The 20,486-nt window shown below is 41.8% G+C and overlaps 1 long non-coding RNA gene across 2 annotated transcripts in view; it reads right to left on the bottom strand.

The window, feature by feature from the left end:
- Nucleotides 1–10,437: 10,437 nt before the first annotated feature.
- The window catches only part of LOC124904314 (uncharacterized), a 31,764-nt gene continuing 21,715 nt past the window's right edge, over nucleotides 10,438–20,486 (bottom strand). For both annotated transcript variants that reach the window (XR_007066395.1, XR_007066394.1), the window contains 2 exons: nucleotides 14,663–14,712; nucleotides 10,438–12,467 (listed from right to left, as the gene is read on the bottom strand). This is a non-coding gene — a long non-coding RNA (uncharacterized LOC124904314). The remainder of the gene's footprint in view (nucleotides 12,468–14,662; nucleotides 14,713–20,486) is intronic.

Raw genomic sequence — 20,486 nt, forward strand, 5'->3', positions numbered from 1 at the left:
ATAAAAAATTTTTTAATTTAAAAAACTGGTGAAAATGATAACCATTTTATTATACTCATACATTCTGTGGGTCAGGAATTCAGAAAGGGTGCATCTGACACTTTGTGACACTCTGTCTCTGCTCCACAGTGTCTGGGGTCTCAGCCGGGAAGGGTCAAAGGCTGAGAGTGATTCATGGGATAGGACTTGACACATCCATTGGTTTGTTCACCCATGTCTTGGTGGTTGACACTGATTATCAACAAGGATATCTAATGGAGCAACTGTCAGCCAAACCTTGGTATGTAGCTGCTTGGGCATCCTCCCAGCATGGAGGCTGAGTTACAAGAGTATAAACATCACAAGAAAACCAAGCAGAAGCTAAATCACCTTTAATGACTTAAGAAGTCATGTAGCATTACCTCTATGGCAGTCACAAGCTTCCCCAGGTTGAAGAAGAGGGAATGTGGGCTCCACCTCTCAGTGAGAAGAGTGTCAGAGCTAGATCTATATTATAAGAAATAACGTTGCCCATTGTTGGAAAATACAATCTGCCATATTGTCTTTTCCTTTTTTAATACCCTGCCTCTTTTTCTGACTCCAGGAAATCACTTTTGGTTCCATTCATCATTTCCTTTCTTCCACTCCATTTCTTCGTTGTAGAATATATTCTTATTTCCATAGATATATTATTATTCTTTGAAATTCAGCACTCTCCCTACCACAAAGTACTTTCAGAAGTAAATGAATATTTCATGAAAACACCTAGCAAAATATCTGATGTATAAGAAGGATTCAATATATATATTTTATTGAGGTATAATTGACCTCAATAAAAGGTCAATTGTATTGAATTTTTACTGAGGTATAATAAACTGCACATATCTAAAGCATAGAATTTGTTAAGTTTTGACATATGTGTACACCCATGAAACCACCGCCACAGTCACAATGGTGAGTATACCTGTCACCCCCAAAAGTTCTCTCCTGCTCCTCTGTAACACCTCCCTCCCATCCTGACCTACTCCTCTCCAACCCCAAGCAACTGCTGCTATGCTTTCTACCACTATTGATTGGTTTGCATTTTCTAGACTTTTATATAAATGGAATCATGCAATAGATACTTTTTTCTTTGATCTCGACTCTTTCACTCATCATAATTATTTTGGTATTCATCAGTGTCATTGTGTGTATCAATAGTTTATTGGGTTTTGTTGCTGAGTAACATTTCATTGTATAGCTATAGGACAATTTGTTTATTGATTTGCATATGGATGGATAATTGGGTTGTTTGCAGTTTTTGGCTATTGTAAGCAAAACTGCTATGAACATTTATGTATGAGTCTTCAAATGGACATATATTTCCTCTTCTTGGTAAATGCCTAGGTGTGGAATGGATGGAATATACAGTAGGTATATGCTTTAAGAAAAAAAAAAACCCTGCAAAACTGCTTTCCAAAGTGTTTTTACCATTTTCTATTCCCACTAGCAATAAATGAAAGTTTCATTTTTTTCACATCCACACCAACACTTGGTGTGGCTGGACTTTTTATAATAGGAGAGTTGCGGCATCTCACTGTGGCTTTAGCTTACAATATCCTAATGACTAATAATGTCGAGCATCTTCTCGTGCTTTTTTGCCATCCATATATCTGCTTTGATGCTGTTTCCAGATGTTTTGTCCATTTTTAATTGGGTTGTTTCTTATTATTGAGTTCTGAGATTTATTTATATTTTCTGCATACACATTCCTTAAAAACTTTATATGCTTTTTTATGTTTTAGATGCTTTTTAAAAATTACTTATGTGCTTTGCAAAGATATAGTCCCAGTCTGTAGTTTGCATTTTTATTCTCTTAACAATATCTTTGAAAAGTCAGAAGTTTTTGAGTTTGATAACATCCATTTTATCATTTTTTTTTTCATTTATGGATTGTACCCTTGGCGTCATTTCTAACAAACCTTTATCAAACTCAAGGTCACAAAGTTGTTTTTCTATGTTCTCTCCTGAAAGTTTTGTGTTTTTAGGCTTTACATTTAGGTCTATATTCATTTCTGAGTTTATTTTTGTAGATTGTTAGATATGATCAATGTCCTTTTGTTTTTTATTTTTTATTTTGTTTTGTTTTGCATATGGGTATCCAACTGCTCTGGCACCATTTATTGAAAAGGGCTATCTTTTCTTCACTGCATTGTCTTTGAGCCTTGTTGTGGGTTGAACTGTGTCCTCTAAAAAGATACGTTTAAGTCCTAACACCCAGTATCTGGGAATGTGACCCTATTTGGAAATTGGGTCTTTGTTTATTGACATAAAATAAGATGAGTTCAGGCTGGATTACAGTGGGTCCTAATCCAATGACCAGTATCCTTATAAAAAGAGGGAGATTTGTACACTGAGACAGAGACACAGAGAAGATACCATGTTGACGATGGAGACAGAAATTGGAGTGATGCTGCTACACACCAAGGAAGGCCAAGGACTGTTGGTAATACCAAAAGCTGGGAGGGAGGCCTGGTACAGATTCTCCCCCAACACCTCCAAGAGGAACCATGCCTGTCAACACCTTGACTTCCTACTTCTGGCCTCCAGAACCATGAGATTTTTTAGTCTTCAACTCCTAAGTTCACGGGTACATGTGCGGGATGTACAGTTTTGTTACATAGGTAAATGTGTACCATGCTAGTTTGCTGCACAAATCAACCCATCACCTATGTATTAAGCCCAGCATTCATTTGCTATTCTTCCTAATGTGCTCCCTCCTCCCACCCTCCCCAACAGGCCCTAGTGTGTGTTGTTCTTCACCATGTGTCCATATGTTCTCATCATTCCGCTCCCACTTATAAGTGAGAACATGCAGTGTTTGGTTATCTGTTCCTGCATTAGTTTGCTGAGGATAATGGCTTCCAGCTCCATCTATGTCCCTGCAAATGACATGATCTAATTCCTTTTTATGACTGCATAGTATTCCATAGAATATATGTACCACATTTTCTTTATCTAGTCTATCATTGATGAGCAGTTGGGTCGATTCCATGTCTTTGCTATTGTGAATAGTGCTGCAATGAACATACATGTGCATGTATCTTTATAAAAGAATGATTTATATTCCTCTGGGTATATACTCAGTAATAGGATTGCTGGGTCAAGTGGTATTTCTACCTTTAGGTCTTTAAGAAATTGCCACACTGCTTGCCACAATGGTTGAACTAATTTATACTCCCACCAACAGTGTAAATGCATTCCTTTCTCTGCAAATTCAGCAGCATCTGTTGTTTTTTGACTTTTTAATTATCACCATTCTGACTGGTGTGAGATGGTATCTCATTGTGGTTTTCATTTGCATTTCTCTAATGATCAGTGATTTTTTTTTCATATGTTTATTGGCCATATGCATGTCTTCTTTTGAGAAGTGCCTGTTCATGTCCTTTGTCCACTTTTTAATGGGGTCTTTTTTTTCTTGTAAATTGGTTTATTAGACCTTCGTTAGATGGATAGATTGCAAAAATGTTCTCCCATTTTGTAGGTTGTCTGTTCACCCTGATGATAGTTTATTTTGTTGTGCAAAAGCTCTTTAGTTTAATTAGATCACATTTGTCAATTTTTGCTTTTGTTGCAATTGCTTTTTGTCACGAAATCTTTTCCCATGTCTATGTCCTGATTCATATTGCCTAGATTTTCTTCTGCAAAAATGTTCTCCCATTCTGTAGGTTGTCTGTTCACCCTGATGATAGTTTATTTTGTTGCAAAAAAGCTCTTTAATTAGACTGCATTTGTCAATTTTTGCTTTTGTTGCAATTGCTTTTGGCATTTTCGTCATGAAATCTTTGCCCATGCCTATGTCCTGATTGATATTGCCTAGATTTTCTTCTAGGATTTTTATAGTTTTGGGTTTTAAGTCTTTAATCCATCTCAAGTTAATTTTTGCATAAGGTGTAAGTAAGGGGTCCAGTTTCAATTTTCTACATATGTCTAGCCAGTTCTCCCAGAACAATTTATGAAATAGGGAATCTTTTCCCCATTGCTTGTTTTTGTCAGGTTTGTTGAAGATCAGATGGTTGTAGGTGTGTGGCTTTATTTCTGAGTTCTCTATTCTGTTCCATTGGTCTACGTGTCTGTTTTTTGTACCAGTACCATGCTGTTTTGGTTACTGCAGCCTTGTAGTATAGTTTGAAGTCAGGTAGTGTGATGCTTCCAGCTTTGTTCTTTTTGCTTAGGACTGTCTTGGCTATTTGGGCTCTTTTCTGGAAGAACCATGAGATTTTTAAGCCACCCAGTTTATGGCGGTTTGTTACAGCCACCCTAAGATATATACATACATAATGTACACATAAATGTATGTAACATATTTTAATCTATTTAAACATTAAAAATACTGAATCACAAGGCTTTTATGTGCCCTTGCCACTTTGACTGTACCTACAACACATGCATCACACACACACACACACACACACGCACCAGTTTACCTATTAACTAGTGCATTCATTTTGTGAGATTTTCTTTTTAACTTTAACTTTGCCATCACACACAGTTTGAGTGCATAGAGAGGACCTCTGAATGTGCCACTGAAGTCTGGCAGGCCACAGTGGCAGCATTCCTCTCTAGCTGACTTGGCAATGTGTGAGCAGCTCTCTCACGATGCCAGACAGGGGGTAGGGAAGAATGAATCACCAGATGGCTGAAAAGAGACACTTCCATTCGTGTGACCCCGCTGATATGGGCCATGCAGAGAGATTGCTGAGAATGGAGACAGGCCCACGCTTGCTGGAAACAGTATTCAGTGCCCCTGGGTCCTCAGGTACAACAGCAAAGAAACGGTGTTCAGAAAGGTGCCCCACACCCTGCTTGACTGCAGAGCATATGGACCAGGCTGGTGAATTCCCCCTTGCCATGACTCTGTAAGTGAAGAGCTGCCCTACAAAGTGAAAGAATTAACCTTCAAAGAGCAGGCTGTGTGGTTTCCTTCTGTTTCTCATGCTTGACATTCTCTGGCTGCCCCAGGAACCTGATGCAATCCCTTGCATTTCCCTGCCAGGCCCATATGCAATGATGTTCACTCATCCTGATTTCTTTTCTTCGCTAGCCTACCGAGGGGCACTCGCAGTCTGGCCTGGTGTCTACCCCCAGGATTAGCTTCATCAACCTCAAATTTTTACATCTGCCAGTGACTTTTTGGGACTTTGGCTAATGGACTGTATGACGGTCAGTACAAGACAAGATTCTCAAATGAGAGTCATTACCTGAGGATATATATTAACTACACCCAAGAGGCACACCGGGCCTCATCAGCATTCTCCAGGCTGACATCCTCACTGCTGAGATGCAAGGTTTAGAAAAAGGAGTGGAGAAGGAAGATGTCAACTATTGAGCACCTACTGTATGGAAGCACCGTGCTAGGTATTTGCACATACATTGCCATATTAAAAAATAAACTTAGCAAAAACCTGAAACCAGAAAAGGAAACAGAGGCTGTGTGTGAAACACTCGCCTTGGATATGGATATCATTGACTCCTCCAAGAATAGTAACGCATAGAATGTTCTCTGAAAACATTACTGACCTTTGATTGTTGATACTCCCTCTAAACCTTAAGCTCTGGAGAACTGAAGATTGGCCCTAACAGTGAGCAGTAAAACCAGGGAAGGACACTGGTATGAATCCTCTGAGAATCAGTGAGTGATCATTATTTCAAAATTCCACTCTTCAGTTCTTTCCTGAAAGCATGATTTCACTATAATATGTAAAGATTTTAAAAAAAATAGATGTCAGCCAGCCACAGTGGCTCATGCCTGTAATCCCAGCACTTTGGGAGCCAAGGTGGGTGGATCACTTGAAGTCAGGAGTTCGAGAATAGCCTGGCTAACATGGCAAAACCCTGTCTCTACTAAAAATACAAAAATTAGCTGGGCATGTTGACAGGCGCCTGTAATACCAGCTACTCGGGAGGCTGCGATAGGAGAATCGCTTGAACCCAGGAGGCGGAGGTTGCAGTGAGCCGAGATCGTGCAACTGCACTCCAGCCTGGGAGACAGAGCGAGACTTTATCTCTTTAAAAAAAATAATAATAATAGATGTCATCATGTAGGATTTTGTTATCAGGGACCTTGTATACCCAGGTTAATTGTCTCTCAAAAGAGCAGGGGTCTCTTTCTGGAGGGCATGGGCACACGGCCATATTTGCAGTATGTCCCTTCCCTACAAACAGGTACAAATACTCTGTAAACTCAAGGCCACGAGCCACATCCAGACTCCGACATGGATCTAAGCATATGCCATGTACATCTCAGGCACATTTGGCAAACAGATTATTTATGGGACTTGGCAGAAAAGTCTTTAGGGTTTTCAGTCACAGTCTTCCTGACGGCACCCACTGTGACATTGAGCAGGTAAAGCGAATAATATATGCAACTTGGAAGGTCAATTCTTGCTCATATTTCTAATTATTAAATACACCATAATTGAGGGCCTCCCTGTAGAACAGTGTCCTGCTGTGAAGCTAGACTGTTCATTATTCAAAGTTGTTCTTTTGTTGCAGGCAACAATAACAGCACAGCACATGTGGAAACCCTATTGCTATTATTAGCTAGAGCATCCTTTTTTCAAAGAAAATAAGACAAGGTTTTTTGGCTTCTAGTACATGTTTCTTCTCTTTTTATTCCAGTGCCATCCTCACTGTTAGAGTTCACTGGCGAATCTCAACGCTCCACCAAAATACAACTGTATCAAGGATCATCCTTTGGTATCACCTTAATTGGTTTGTTTCCCTTCTGACCAAACATGTTTCCATGAGGAAAAAGAAAATCATGGGAACCTCCATTTGATCTAAAAGAGAAGAAACAAAATTTGAGGTTGCACAAATAGAAACTCACAGCATAGAAGTTTCTATAGGCTCTCCCTAGCCAAAGTTAGACTGTTGACGGCTGCTGTGAGACCTCAGTTCTTGTCTTCTTAGCTTAAAATAATTTAAACAAGAGACACACAGCAAAGGAGATAGAGTGTGGAACAATTTGCTGCAAAGGAAAAAAAATATTTTGAAATTTAGGCGCAGGGCTGGGAGCAGTGGCTCACGCCTGTAATCCCAGCACTTTGGGAGGCCAAGGCGGGCAGATCACCCGAGGTCAGGAGTTTGAGACCAGCCTGGCCAACATGGTGAAACCCCTTCTCTACTGAAAATACAAAAAATTAGCCAGGTGTGGTGGTGCACGTCTGTAGTCCCAGCTACTTGGGAGGCTGAGGCAGGAGAATCACTTGAACCTGGGAGGCAGAGGTTGCAGTGAGCCGAGATCATGCCACTGCACTTTAGCCTGGGCAACAGAGCCTGACTCCATCTCAAAATAAATAAATAATTAAAAAATTAGAGTTAGGTGCAGAATGGACAGTACACCCTGAGAGAGAGAGAACAGAGGGCGGGCTGCTCATAAGGATGAGTTTCTCCAGCATTGATTCTTGCTGGAGAAACTCCCTTTATGGGAATTGACATGATTATTCATAAGGAAGTAGGAAGAGGTGTTACTAGTAAGCATGTTCTGGGTGGTCCTCTGGGTACACATGCACAGTAGCTGTCCGTGTCTGTTCATACATTACGTGTCTCATTAGCATCTTAAATCTCCCCCAAGGGCTGTGTTTTTTACTATCATAATGAGCAAAGGGTCACTGTGAGGACAGGTAAAATCAAAATGCACATGCTCTCTATGGGGAAAATTCCCTATTGAAAATAGCTTTGCTTGAATGAGCTCAGTTACGATGTAAATGCTGAGATTTGTGTTGTTGATTGTATGATCACCAAGGTTGCTGCATCCCAAGAACATGGTTACTTCCTTGGATACCTCTCCTGCCTCAAAAGCAGATGTAAAAATGTCAATACAGGAGAAATGTGGCCATCTAACTGAGGGGCACATTAATTGTATTACACAACTGTCCTTGGCCAAGTTTTCTAATAAGGTATAAATGGATAAACTACATGAATAGCAAACTAAAGTAGATATATTATTTTTATAGCCTGTATGGTAACTAGCACACTTGAGAGCCTAAATTATTGAATACTAATCCTAAAACTCTTCAAGGGATGGCCATAGATCCTTTGTCCTTCTATTTTAAGTCTTTGATTACAAATAGCACTATTACCCATGGCCATGTTCTAAGAGGTTTCTCAGCATTGTATTCAGTTGTTTGGTCAAAGTTCCACACTGCAGGAGAGAGTTCTCGCTCTCCTGAACTGAAAAGAATGATGGTGCCAATGTGTAGGAACTCTAAAGCACAAGAAATCTACATCTTGATGTGGTAGTCATTAGGGCTGTTCCCAGACATTCCAGTAACTCCTCTGTTATAAACTGCATTCTTGTGTTTATAAATTCATATGTTGAAATCCTAACTTCCAATGCAATAGTATTAGGAGGTGGGGCCATCTGGAAGGTAATTAGGTTTAAATGAGTTCATGAGGGTGGAACCCCCATCATGGGATTATTGACCTTATAAAAAGAAAAAGAGACTAGAGCTTACTCTCTTGGCCACATGAGGACACAGCAAGGCAGCAGCTAAGTACAAGCCAGGAAGAGAGACCACATCAAAAACCAAATCTGCTGGTGCCTTGATCTTAGACTTCCCTGCCTCCAGGACTGTAAGAAATAAACATTGTTTAAGCCAGCCAGTCTATGATGTCCTGTTATAACCGCCCAAACTGACTAAGACATCCTCCTTCCAGGTACACAGTGGGACTGCATTTTGTCACTTCTTTATAGTTAAATATGGCTGCGTGACTCCATTTAGCTAATGAAATATGAACATGATCCCTAAGAGCTAGTACATGATTTGCTATGTGCTCTTCTCCCTGCTATGGTGAGCTTTATAGCCTATGCCGGGATGGCGCCTCTGCTGCTTGGGGTCTCTGAGCGACTGTATTGAGTAGACATAACAGCTGTCACATGACAGAGACACCAACTTTTATAGTGTTAAGCTACTAAGATTTTGGAGTTATTTGTTACTTCAGCATAACTTAGCCTATCCTGACTGATACAACAACAATTGTTAACTTCTCTTAAGAAGAGAAACTAACCGTATTAATCTATTCTCACACTGCTAATAAAGACATACCTGAAACTGAGTAATTTATAAAGGAAAGAGGTTTAATTGACTTGCAGTTCTGCAGGACTGAGGAGGCCTCAGGAAACTTACAATCATGAAGGAAGGGAAACAAACACATCCTTCTTCACATGGTGGCAGTGAGGAAAACTGCAGAGTGAAGGCAGAGGGAAAGCACCTTATAAAACCATCAGATCTTGTGAGAACTCACTCACTATCATAAGAACAGCATGGAGGTAACTGCCCCCATGATAGAGTTACCTCCCACCAGGTCCCTCCCACAATGTGTGGGAATTATGGGAACTACAATTCAAGATGAGATTTGGGTGGGGACACAGCCAAATCATATCAATAATCAATGGTATGACTATGACCAATATGAATAGGATAATGACTACTGATGCCTCATCAAAAAACATGTACCCCAGTTTTGGGTTTTTTTTTCCATGAATAAGAATGGATTTCCTTGACCAATTAACTTTCTTCTGTTTCTTTTCAAAATTAGCAGCACACATTTTTGAGATTGGAGATATCAAATAGCACTGTAGTCTGTGGCTCTTCCCCATCTCCAACTATCAAAAACATACTTCAGCCTTCCAGCTCCATCTCGTGAAGCCTTCTGATCCAGAGACAGTTACCACTTCAGAGTTCTTATGTACAGAGTTAATACCTCTCCCGGAATTCAGCACATTCACTGGTATTGTAACTATTTTGTGCCTGGCTATTTAGCATTCTTCACCCTCTGGACACAACATTTTCAGGAGTCGTAGAGATTGAGGGGAAACACAATTAAATGCACACTATTATTCCAGGAGAAAAGTCTGTCTTAAATTTCTGACTTCCCTTGTCTCCAAGTGAGCTATTCTGGAGATGTTAGAATGAACCCCAAAAGGTCCTATTTCTGTGTATTCCCAAGCCTAGAGCAAACCTAAATCACCTATTCCAGGCTTGCTTTCTCATCCTGTTCCACAATTTCTCCAGAGTTAAAGTAAAGCCAAAGCCAGTTTATCTTCCAACACCACAAAAAGTCAGGAAAGAGTAAACTGCATCTACTTCATAATATAAAATATCCCAGGGCTGAGGGCAGTGACTCATTCCTGCAATCCTAGCACTTTGTGAGGCTGAGGCAGGAGGATTTCTTGAGCCCAGGAGTTGGAGACCAGCCTAGTCAATATAGTGAGACCTCATATCTGTAAAAAATTTTCAAATATTAGCCAGGCATGGTGGCACATGCCTGTTATTCCAGCTACTCAGGAAGCTGAGGTGGGAGGATCACTTGAGCCCTGGAGGTCAAGGCTGCAGTGAGCCAAGATTGTACCACTGCACTCCTGGGCAACAGGGCAAGACCCTGTCAAAAAAAAAAAAAAAAAAAAAAGCCCCTACATTTTCCTCTGAAAGTAATTATCATATTAGTTCTGCTACAGTCCTACTTCAAGTTTCGGTGCCTGTATTAAACTAAGGGGAGAGGAATAGAAGAACAATACCTTTCTTCTCTTTGCTTCTTTCTTGGAAGTATATTGTTTCACTTCTTTACTCTCCTGCCCTGCTGATTTTGTCAACATTTGTAGGTATGTCAGTTGGTGAAAAGTTTGGTTGAATAGTGTCCCCACACATACCCCCAAATTCCCAGAACTTCAGAATGTGACCTTATTTGGAAATAGGGTCATTACAGATGTCATTTGTTAAACTGAGGTCATACTCGAGTAGTTTTAATCCAGTATTTCTTGGTGTCCTTATAAGAAGTGAAGAAAGCCAGAGATGGAAAGGCATAGAGGGATGATGGCCATGTGACAACCGATGTAAAGGTTGAAGCTATGCAGTTGCAAGCCAAGGAATGCCAAGAATTTCCAGCAACCACCAGAAGCCAAAAGAGAGGCATCTTCAGACTCTTTCTCTAAACCTCCAGGAAGGAATCAACTCTACCGACACCTTGATTTTGGATTCTGGCATCTAGAACTGTGATAAAGTAAATTCTTGATATTTTAAGCCACCAATTTGTGTTCCCTTGTTACAGCAGCCCTAGAAAACTAAAACAGTGTCTTTTAATTATGTTCTCTCTACTGCTTCTCAGACTGCTTGGCATTTTTATAATGAGTCTTTATGCAATGATCTCACACGTTCCTGCATTTTAAATCTTAATGCTTCTCGGGTCTCTGCCCTGAGTTGAGCAAAATAGGATATGAGGCCCGAAGTCTTCTTTCTCCAGATAAAAACACATCAAGATCAGAAGCAATATCTTGTTCACCTTTTAATCTCTCCTCCAACACCCTGTCAGAACCTAGAACAGCACTCAGCCCACAGCAGGGCCTCAAAAATACTTAACAAAATTACAGAACTAACACTAGATATTATTCCCATTCTTCTCTCATCTCATACCAAACAGTGATTTAGAATAACTGAATCACCAAATACGTTAGTGTTGGTTCACTTCATGGCCAATTATCAAACAATAAACTGGGTCACTTTAACATTCAGTCTAAGTCAGTCCATCCACATAAGTCAGTCCATCCACATATGGAGGCCAACTATTCCACGGTCCATTAACGCCATTCCCTTCAATGATTACATCAGGGCAACCAAATGAACATCCAATTGCCAGAGCCAGGTTTTGGGCATCTGAAGTAACAGAACATCATTAATCACTGAGGACAGAATGAGAAACCTCAGATCTAAGGGGCAAAAGTAAAAGCTAAAATTATCCTACTGATCTGACAGAGCAAGTCTCCGTGTGCACATAGCCATGTCACCAATGACTGGGTACACATGCCACATCCCTCAACAGAATTTCTGTTTATTCATTTGCTATTAACCTTAATGAGTTGAGTGGCAGGTGAAATATCTACTGGCTTCCATTTACGTTCCACTTTCTTTCCAAGCATAAGGCAAAGCCAATTTTCTCGATTGGGCTGGGAAGGAGTCCTAATTACCTAAGAACCAGCACATTTCAATCTTATAGGGACTAAGTCTCTCTGTATTGGAATGCAACCCAAACACAGTTTTCTGTTTCATGAACAAAGAGAAAGCCAAAGAAAGTCTTCTTGAAAACCACTTAATGCCTAGGAGGTTCTCCAGTCAACTTTGCCATTTGAAATCATACTCCTTACAGGCAACCAATGGTGCTCAAAGCATCTCTTTCAGCATCAATCTTCCTACTTTGTGATATTTGGGGGATGTCTTAATTAGATCAGTTACTTTGCCATTCCTTTAAGTATTATATCTCAAGTTACCTGTTGGCTTCTTACAGGTCTCATGAAGACAGCTCCATTTTTTAGAGGTAGCTAGGAAATATATAGCTGCTTTCAAAGTTCTATCGCTTTCTGGGACAAGCAGTTCATCTTATTTCTTCTCCATGGCTAGTCATTAAATGTTGAAGGTCTTGGCTAATTCTGGGTACTCTAATCTGCAGTGAATCTGAAAGAAGAGAAAATCAACTAAAAGCCAGACTGTGGATGTTCATGTACTCATTTTAGGAATGGGCTGGTCACAAGGGTAGAATAACTGACTGCATTGGGCTTCAGAAAAGGTCTTGAACTTTTCAACATTTTCCCCCACATGTTATCTCTGAAAATGCAAACACCCTGGGGGAGATAAACCTCTTTTATCAAGACTTTTTAAAAAATCCATCACAGCATTGATCAGGGTACTGAAGTGGTAATAATTTTCATAGAGCCAAGACAAACAGGGCCCTAACAGTGCCCTGTTAGGTACGCACTGTGGAGTCAGAAAGAATCCAAAGAGCTTAGAGGACGGGATCCTCAGTCTCTGAGCAGACAAAATACTGTTATCTCCATTTCAGAGATAAGACAACTGAGTCCCCTGGGATTAAAAATGGTACCCTATTGAACACCAAGAAGGCACTAGATGCTTGAAAACTTTTTTATGAGCAGAGGATAGACTAGATAGAACAGAAAAGGGCGAGAGAAGGGTGCCTAGCTTCATGATTGGCCAAGTCATCTCCACTATGTGAAAATGCCATACTACCTGGGAAGGTGACCCCTTAGGCCAGCAACAGTTGGGGCTGTGAAGACCAAAGAGGTCAGAGAGAGAGGTTTGGATGGAGATGAGAAACAAGGTACAGAGTCAGGGACATTGAGGGCTCTGAATATCTGGATGCGAATGCTGAGAAATGATACAAGTCAGAAACAGAGAATCAAATACCTCAGGTTCTCACTTATAAGTGGGAGCTAAATAATGTGTATGCATAGACAAAGAGTGTGGGCTGATGGAGAGTGGACACTCAGAAGGGTGGAGGGACAAGAGAGGGGAGAGTGATGAGAAATTACTTAATGGGTACTATGTACATTATTGGGGTGATGGCTACACTGAAAAACAAGATTTTGCCACTACATGTTGTACACATGTAACAAAATTGCTTCTGTACACCCTAAATTTATATAAATTCTAAAAAGAAATGGGAAAGAGAAAAGTCAAAGCTTACCTCCCTATTACTTGGAAACTGGCTCTAGTATTGATTTTATTCCTGCACTCAGGATAGATCATTTGATGAGTAGCTAGGTGAAAGAGTAGCCCAAAGGAAAACAAAGCAGGGTAGAAAATGAGCAAAGCCAAAGATTTTCTGTGTAAAATTCAGCGTTCCAAAACCTCTACAGTAACACTCCAGGTCAGATAATCTGCAACGCCCCCTGGACCTGAGCAACCACACCATGATTGACACAGCCATCAGTTCAGCTACTGGTATCTGTCTATAAGGAACAGAAGCAGCATGCGGATGATGGTTTAAGCAAAGATTTGTTTTTGTCACAAATAAGAAATGCCATGCTGTTTAAGGGACTCAATGGCGTTGGGCCAATGTTGCTGAATTCTCTTGGCTTCCCCATTGGTTTGTAAGATGGCATCAGCAGCTTCAAGGTTCAGATCTCAAACTGTGTTCAAGGGCAGGAAGCTGAGCATAGGGCTAGAAGATTTTCTGTGACTTCCTCTTATTAGGGAGGAAAAATTTTTCCTAGAAGGTCCAAGCAGACTTCTTATATTCTCCCTAATCTATGTCACATTCCCATCCTTAGACCAGGGACTATATCTACATTCCCTAAGAATAACTGAACCCCATCTGATGCCTGTCCAAAGTGGGTTACCCTTGCTCCATCCAAAAGGCATGGAAGATCAGGGGCTGGCACTTTTGGGGACTGTACCTTCTACTGTTAATGGGATCCAGGTAGACTGAGTGCCACTGGATCAGAGCAGAACCATCAAGGCCAGCATAAGCAGGAGGCTGCTGGGGCTGCCAGTTGAGAGAAAACAATCTGTCCCAGGCAGGCATCCTCTCCAAATTTAGAAGCAAGAGCTAGCCTTTCCAGAGGGCTCTTTGAAAATGTTAGAAAATTATAATTAGACTTTGTGCTTCTACCAAGCCTTTTGTCCCAGAAGCTCAGGGCACTTCTCTGCATCATCTCATTAATCTTCACCACGCCATTCGAGGCAGCCTGCAACTATTGTCATCTTTATTTTCAGGATGAAAGATCTGAGATGTGGAAACAGGTCAATGGCTTGCCTAGTGTCATATACTCAGTGAGGCACCAGCAGCTGAGGACAGGACCAAAACTTATCACTGAAGACCCGGGACAAGTACATGGATGGCATTTACTTACCCAGAAAGCATGAGACTTGCAAGGTGACTTGACAGAAGAATGTCAAAGCTCTGTGCAAAGAGGTGAGAGGAACAGAACACAAGCTGTGATTTACTATCCAAGGAACCTTGGGCAAGTCACTTACACTTTCTGAACAGTTCCTCATCTAAAAAATGAAAGTAACATCTACCACATCGAACTTCACTTGGCTGTTTCAAAGACAAAAGAAGTGTTTTAAACAAAACCATGTGACCTAGGACATTTTATAAAATCTAAGTCAACATAAGGCATTGTTATTTGAGAGGATTTGTAGAATCAACATTTAAAATGAGCCTGCAGCTGTTGGCACACAATGATAATCCTGAATTGCAACCAGACAATTATAGAAAATGCTTCCTAAGAGATGACTAAGAAGTTCCTTTTTGCCATTCAATGTGCTATGATCATTTTCACCACTTACTCTATGGAAAGTGCTACAAAGCATGCAAGGACAACTGGACTGTGACCCACATCCTCTAGGAAATACGGTCTGGTAGAGGAGACAGATAAACCACTCATTTCACTGTGAGGAAAAATGAAAGAAAACATGTAATAGCCAAGGAGACCAAATGTGGGGGGTCCAGAGGAGGCTTGGGTCGGTTCCCATTCAGCAGCTCAGAGGAAGCTTTTGGGAAGTTGCAGGGTGATAGGAAAAGAGACCCCAGATGGCAGGAATATTGCAGTGGGGAGAAATGGAAGCCAAGAACATACAATATTATATGACTAAAGAAAAAGGTACATGGAAGATTGTAGACATTCCAATAAAAAGTTTGTGCAACATGGTATTTAGTGGGATGTTTTTTCCTGTTGTCTTGGAAACGTGGTAGCTCCTCAGTGAAGCTGAAACTGAACACAGCTCCTAAACAACCACAAACACCAGCTATGACAGCAACACCACTACAGTGGAGCCCATCACCGCAGAAGGACCAGAAGTGGCCAGGGTAAGGCTGGGGCAGACATACTTCACTAATCTGCAGCAGAGGGTCCCTCAAGATTCCTCTTTCTGCTCCCTTCTCCTTTCCCCTTCCCCTGCACCCCACCTTCCTTTGCTCAAACAAGAAGCCACATCTACAACAGTGACTTTCTTTCTTTTTTTTTCTTTTAAAGACAAGGTCTCGCTCTGTCACCCAGGCTGGAGTGCAATGATACAATCACAGCTCACTGCAGCCTCCATCTCCAGAGCTCAAGAGATCCTCCTGCCTCAGCCTCCTGAGTAGCAGGGACCACAAGTGCATGTCCACCACCCCTGGCTAAAACAATGACTTTCAAACTTCTCTAAGCATGACCCACAGTAAATGTTTTACATTATGACACGATTCACACAATTCCAGGCAGCTGACATCTATTATCACATTTATTTTCACACACACACACACACACATACACACACACCTGAAACAGCTTTTTGAGGAAATCATACTCTATTACTTGGAATGTACTTTGTAATTTGTATTCCATTCTACTCCTTTAAAGAAAAATAAAGATTGTGACTTTCTAAATTGATATTATGAGCCAGCAATGGCTTGTGACTTGCATTTTGGAGAAACCAGCCTAGGACAATATGGGAAGGGCATGGGTCTCACACACACACACACACACACACACACACACACACAGAGCCAGGTCCATGGCTCCAGCCTCACCTGAGGAAAAAAGCTGTGCAAGGAGTTTAAACAAAATTTTAAATAATGGGGCTGGGCGTGGTGACTCACGCCTGTAATCCCAGCACTTTTGGAGGCCGAGGCAGGTGGGTCACCTGAGGTCAGGAGTTCAAGAGTAGCCTGGCCAACATAATGAAATCCCGTTCTCTACTAAAAATACAAAAATTACCCAGGCGTGGTGGTGCACACCTGTAGTCTCAGTTACTTGGGAAGCTGAGGCAGGAGAATTGTTTGAACCCGGGAAGCGGAGGCTGCAGTGAGCAGAGATCCTGCCACTGAACTTCAGCCTGGGCGACAGTGAGTTTCTGCCTCAAAAAAATAAAAGCAAAGAGTGTAATAAATGATATTTAAAAAAAAATTTTCTGAATAATGAACAGGACTGAAATGAAATTGCTCTAATACCCCAAACAAAAGGCTGGCTGTTTTCAAGGGACTTGCTCCCCCACTGGGAAGTCGTCACAGTGGGAGGGGGTGGTAGAGTCCAGTTCGAGCCTGTTCTAAAACACACACACACACAAACACACACACATTTTATGTCCCTACTCCCAATTTTGAGGCCCCGAATTAAAGTTGGATGGGGCAACACCATGAAGGCCACTGCAGGATCATGCAAAAAAAAAAGACACACTGGGGAAAGGAAAGTGCGCCCCTCAAACACTAGGCAAACACTGGAGAAGGAAGGACCTTTGGGTCAGCAATAAGAAAGCCGTCCCCCTCAGTCAGCACAAAAGCTCGCCCCCAGGGAGAAACAGGAAGATCCTTAGCTCTTCTTTTCCTTCCCCAGCGCCCATCATCCTCCCTCCTGAGAAAACGGAAGAAAGGGTAGCACAGCAGCCGAAAGGAGTTTGGGTTTGCTTTGCTTCCATCTGCGGACAAGGCTCTTTGCAGAGAAAACCCAGCCTCCCGGTGCCCGGGCCCCGCAGGCAGTCTCTCTTTCGGCCACCAGAGGGCGCTCTCCTCCTCCCCAGCCTCCAGCCACACCTGGCCGAGGGGCGTCCTTGCCCCACTCCTGCAGCCCAGAAGCGCACTCACTGCACAGCCGCGGAACCTGCAAGACGGGCCACAGGCACGCCCCGCTGCCAGCCGCTTAGCTTTTTAAAACAAGCCAGCATAGATGTTCACAATTATTCTCCCCTCAACGGTGGACACTGTCAGGTCAGCAATCCCTAGGAAGCTCCCGGGAGCGCTGTCGGAAGACTTTGCCAGAGCTCAGACTCATCGGGAGGGGGAAATCGGTTCTCTGGCTGCCCCTGGCAGCGGGGCTCCCCCACCCCAGGCTTAAAATAGGGATGAAACTCTTTGACATCGAAGGACACAGGGTCCCTTCCCACTGACGTCCGTTGTGGCGCTGAGGGACCCAGGAGAGCAACAGGGCTTCCAGATCGGAGACATCACCAAAGAGGGAACGCAGCCACTTTTATTTTTGCCTTGACAATTATTAAAATACGCAGAGGAAGGAAACTATTCAGGCTGGCTCTGTACAAGGCAATCATTCCCAAATTGCACCAAATTGGCTGCTCCCCAAAGTCCGTGTGTTCTCCCCACACCCTCATATAAACACACACACCCACCAACACCCTGTGTTATTTGTCTTCAATGAGTTAGAAAGAAGACTTTAAGATAAGGCAGGGTGAAACTCTGACAGCTAGTACCCAAAACTCCCCCTCAACATTAATGGGAGACTTGCTTGTATGTTTTTGCCCCCTAAGGGTAACTGATTCCCATGACTTTGCTTTAGCCAAGGGAATGAAGTGGCTTTTGGGGTAGAAACAGCCTAACCTTACACAAACTTTGAGATAAACAAGCACTATCACAGCACATAAAAACGAAAACTACCAGCAGGTTAAAATTATCCCTATGAAGAAAAAGGAATTTCACGTTATGAAAGTTTTTTTTTTTTAATAATCTGCTAAGTACACACTAATACCCAAAACAGGCCTTAAACAGTCTGAAGGATGCTTGAGCTAAAATCTTATAAATTGCCCTGGAATATTTGTCAAACCACCTGCCCAGAACATACTGTATGTATTCATAGTGCTGTCAAACAAGTGGACTACCATCATTGGATGAGTGGTTTGTCAGCCAGAGGCTGGCTCAGACAGACCATACGTAAAGGTTTCTAACCCTAATTTTTCCCTTTAGTGATTGAGCCTGGACCCATTGTTTGGGATACTTGTGGGGACATGGACTGCATTCTGTCTTATATTGCAGATGCTAAAGAAAACATCTTTCCAGTCCCCCCTTCCCACAGCAGAACACCATGGATTAAATCTGAAACAGTATAAGTGTTCACATCTGGAAAATTGAGCTGAATCTGTCTGGAGACATCTGTATGGATCCTTTGGACTAGTATGAAAAACGATGATTTCTGTGTTTTCTATAGTGGTTTCCACCCTCATGCTAAGGTTTACATTTCTGAAATCACACCACAGCCACCCATTTTAAGGAAGTAGGAGGTTAGAAACATTAAGGAAATTAAGATTGGAGGACAAAGATTATGTGATAGTTAATCTTATATGTCAACTTGGCTAGGCTATAATGCCTTGTTGTTTGGCCACACACTAGACTAGATGTTGCTGTGAAAGTATTTTGTAGATGTGATTAACATTTACAGTTGATTTTGAGTAAAGGAGATTACCCTCAATCATATGGGTGGGCCTTTTCCAATCAGGTGAAGGCCTTAACAGCGAAGACTGAGGCTTATCAAAGAAGGAGGAATTCTGCCTCAAGACTTGCAACATCAGCTCTTCCCTGAGTTTGAGTGCTGGTCTGCTGTAAGATTTCAGATTTTAGCTTGGCATGGTGGCACACTGCTGTAATCCCAGCTACTCAGGAGGCTGAGGCAGGAGAATCACTTGAACCCAGGAGGCGGAGGTTGCAGTGAGCCGAGATGGCGCCACTGCACTCCAGCCTGGGAGACAGAGCGAGACTTGGTAAGAAGGAAGGAAGAAAGGAAGGAAGGGAGGAAGGGAGGGAGGGAGGGGAGGAAGGGGGGGGAGAGAGAGAGAGAGAGAGAGAGAGAGAGAGAGAGAGAGAGAGAAAGGGAGAGATTTCAGGTTTGCCAGCTCCCACAATGGTGTGAGCCAATTCTTTAAAATAATTCTCTCTCTCTCTCTCTCTCTCTCTCTCTCTCTCTGTGTGTGTGTGTGTGTGTGTGTGTGTGTGTGTGTCCTATTGGTTTGGTTTCTATGGAGAATATTGATTGATACAGATTTCAAGTGGGAATCTATTTTATTTTGTACATGTTATAAGTCAAAATAACGATGTGAGGTTAAGTGCTGCCATTCTACATGATATTCACATATCCCAGATTTCTGATTTTGTTTAGGTGCCTAGACCCTCCTTAATACCCCATGTGACACACTGGAAGCTGGCCTGACCCCCAGCCATAGGTGTGATCCTGATTGGTCTAAGGGTGAGCCATCCCCTTCCCAATGATTGGCTCAGGGGAGGGGTCATGTGATTTAGTAAAGACCAATGACTTTACTAAATGACTTTTAGTAAATGACTAAATGACTTTTAGTAAAGACTAAGGTTTGTAGTCATTCTTCCAAGAGGCTTTACAGAAGCAGCATTCTCTCTCCCCTGTTGGAGGAGAATAAAGAAGCAGTAGCTACTGCCATGATGCCCCCATTGTTACTGACAACCCCTGGCACCTGCCCTTTGGTAGAAAATAACATGAGCTTCTGAAAATGTTGTTGAGCTGATTGAATCTCCCAGCCCCAAAGCCTGCACTGACTCTGGGCTTCCTTTTAGGTGAACCAATCCATTTTCTTATTCTGGAAGCCAGTTTGAGCCTGGCTTTTTGATAGTTGCAGCCAAATGACCAAGTCTCCTTGCCCTTAATTTCTTCTCTACAAACTGGGAGAGTAGAATTAGATAATCTAAGTTTTCCTCAAACTCTCAATGTCTGTGAACTGCATATTCAGGTACTAGCACTAACAACATTAACACTATTTGTCAATTACTAAAGAAGATAAATGTTATTATAGGTATGTTTCTAAATAACTTTCATTTTTAGAAACAGTAAAATGACATGTTAAAGTTCATAAAGTATAATTTAATGCCATTTTTTCCAGTGGTCTTAACCCTAGTGAACCACTGTCAGCAACAATAACTTTCGCTAAATTTTTTAACACAGAAAA

Source organism: Homo sapiens, chromosome 18, assembly GCF_000001405.40.
Source record: "Homo sapiens chromosome 18, GRCh38.p14 Primary Assembly".
In the NCBI taxonomy this organism is placed as follows: domain Eukaryota; kingdom Metazoa; phylum Chordata; class Mammalia; order Primates; family Hominidae; genus Homo; species Homo sapiens.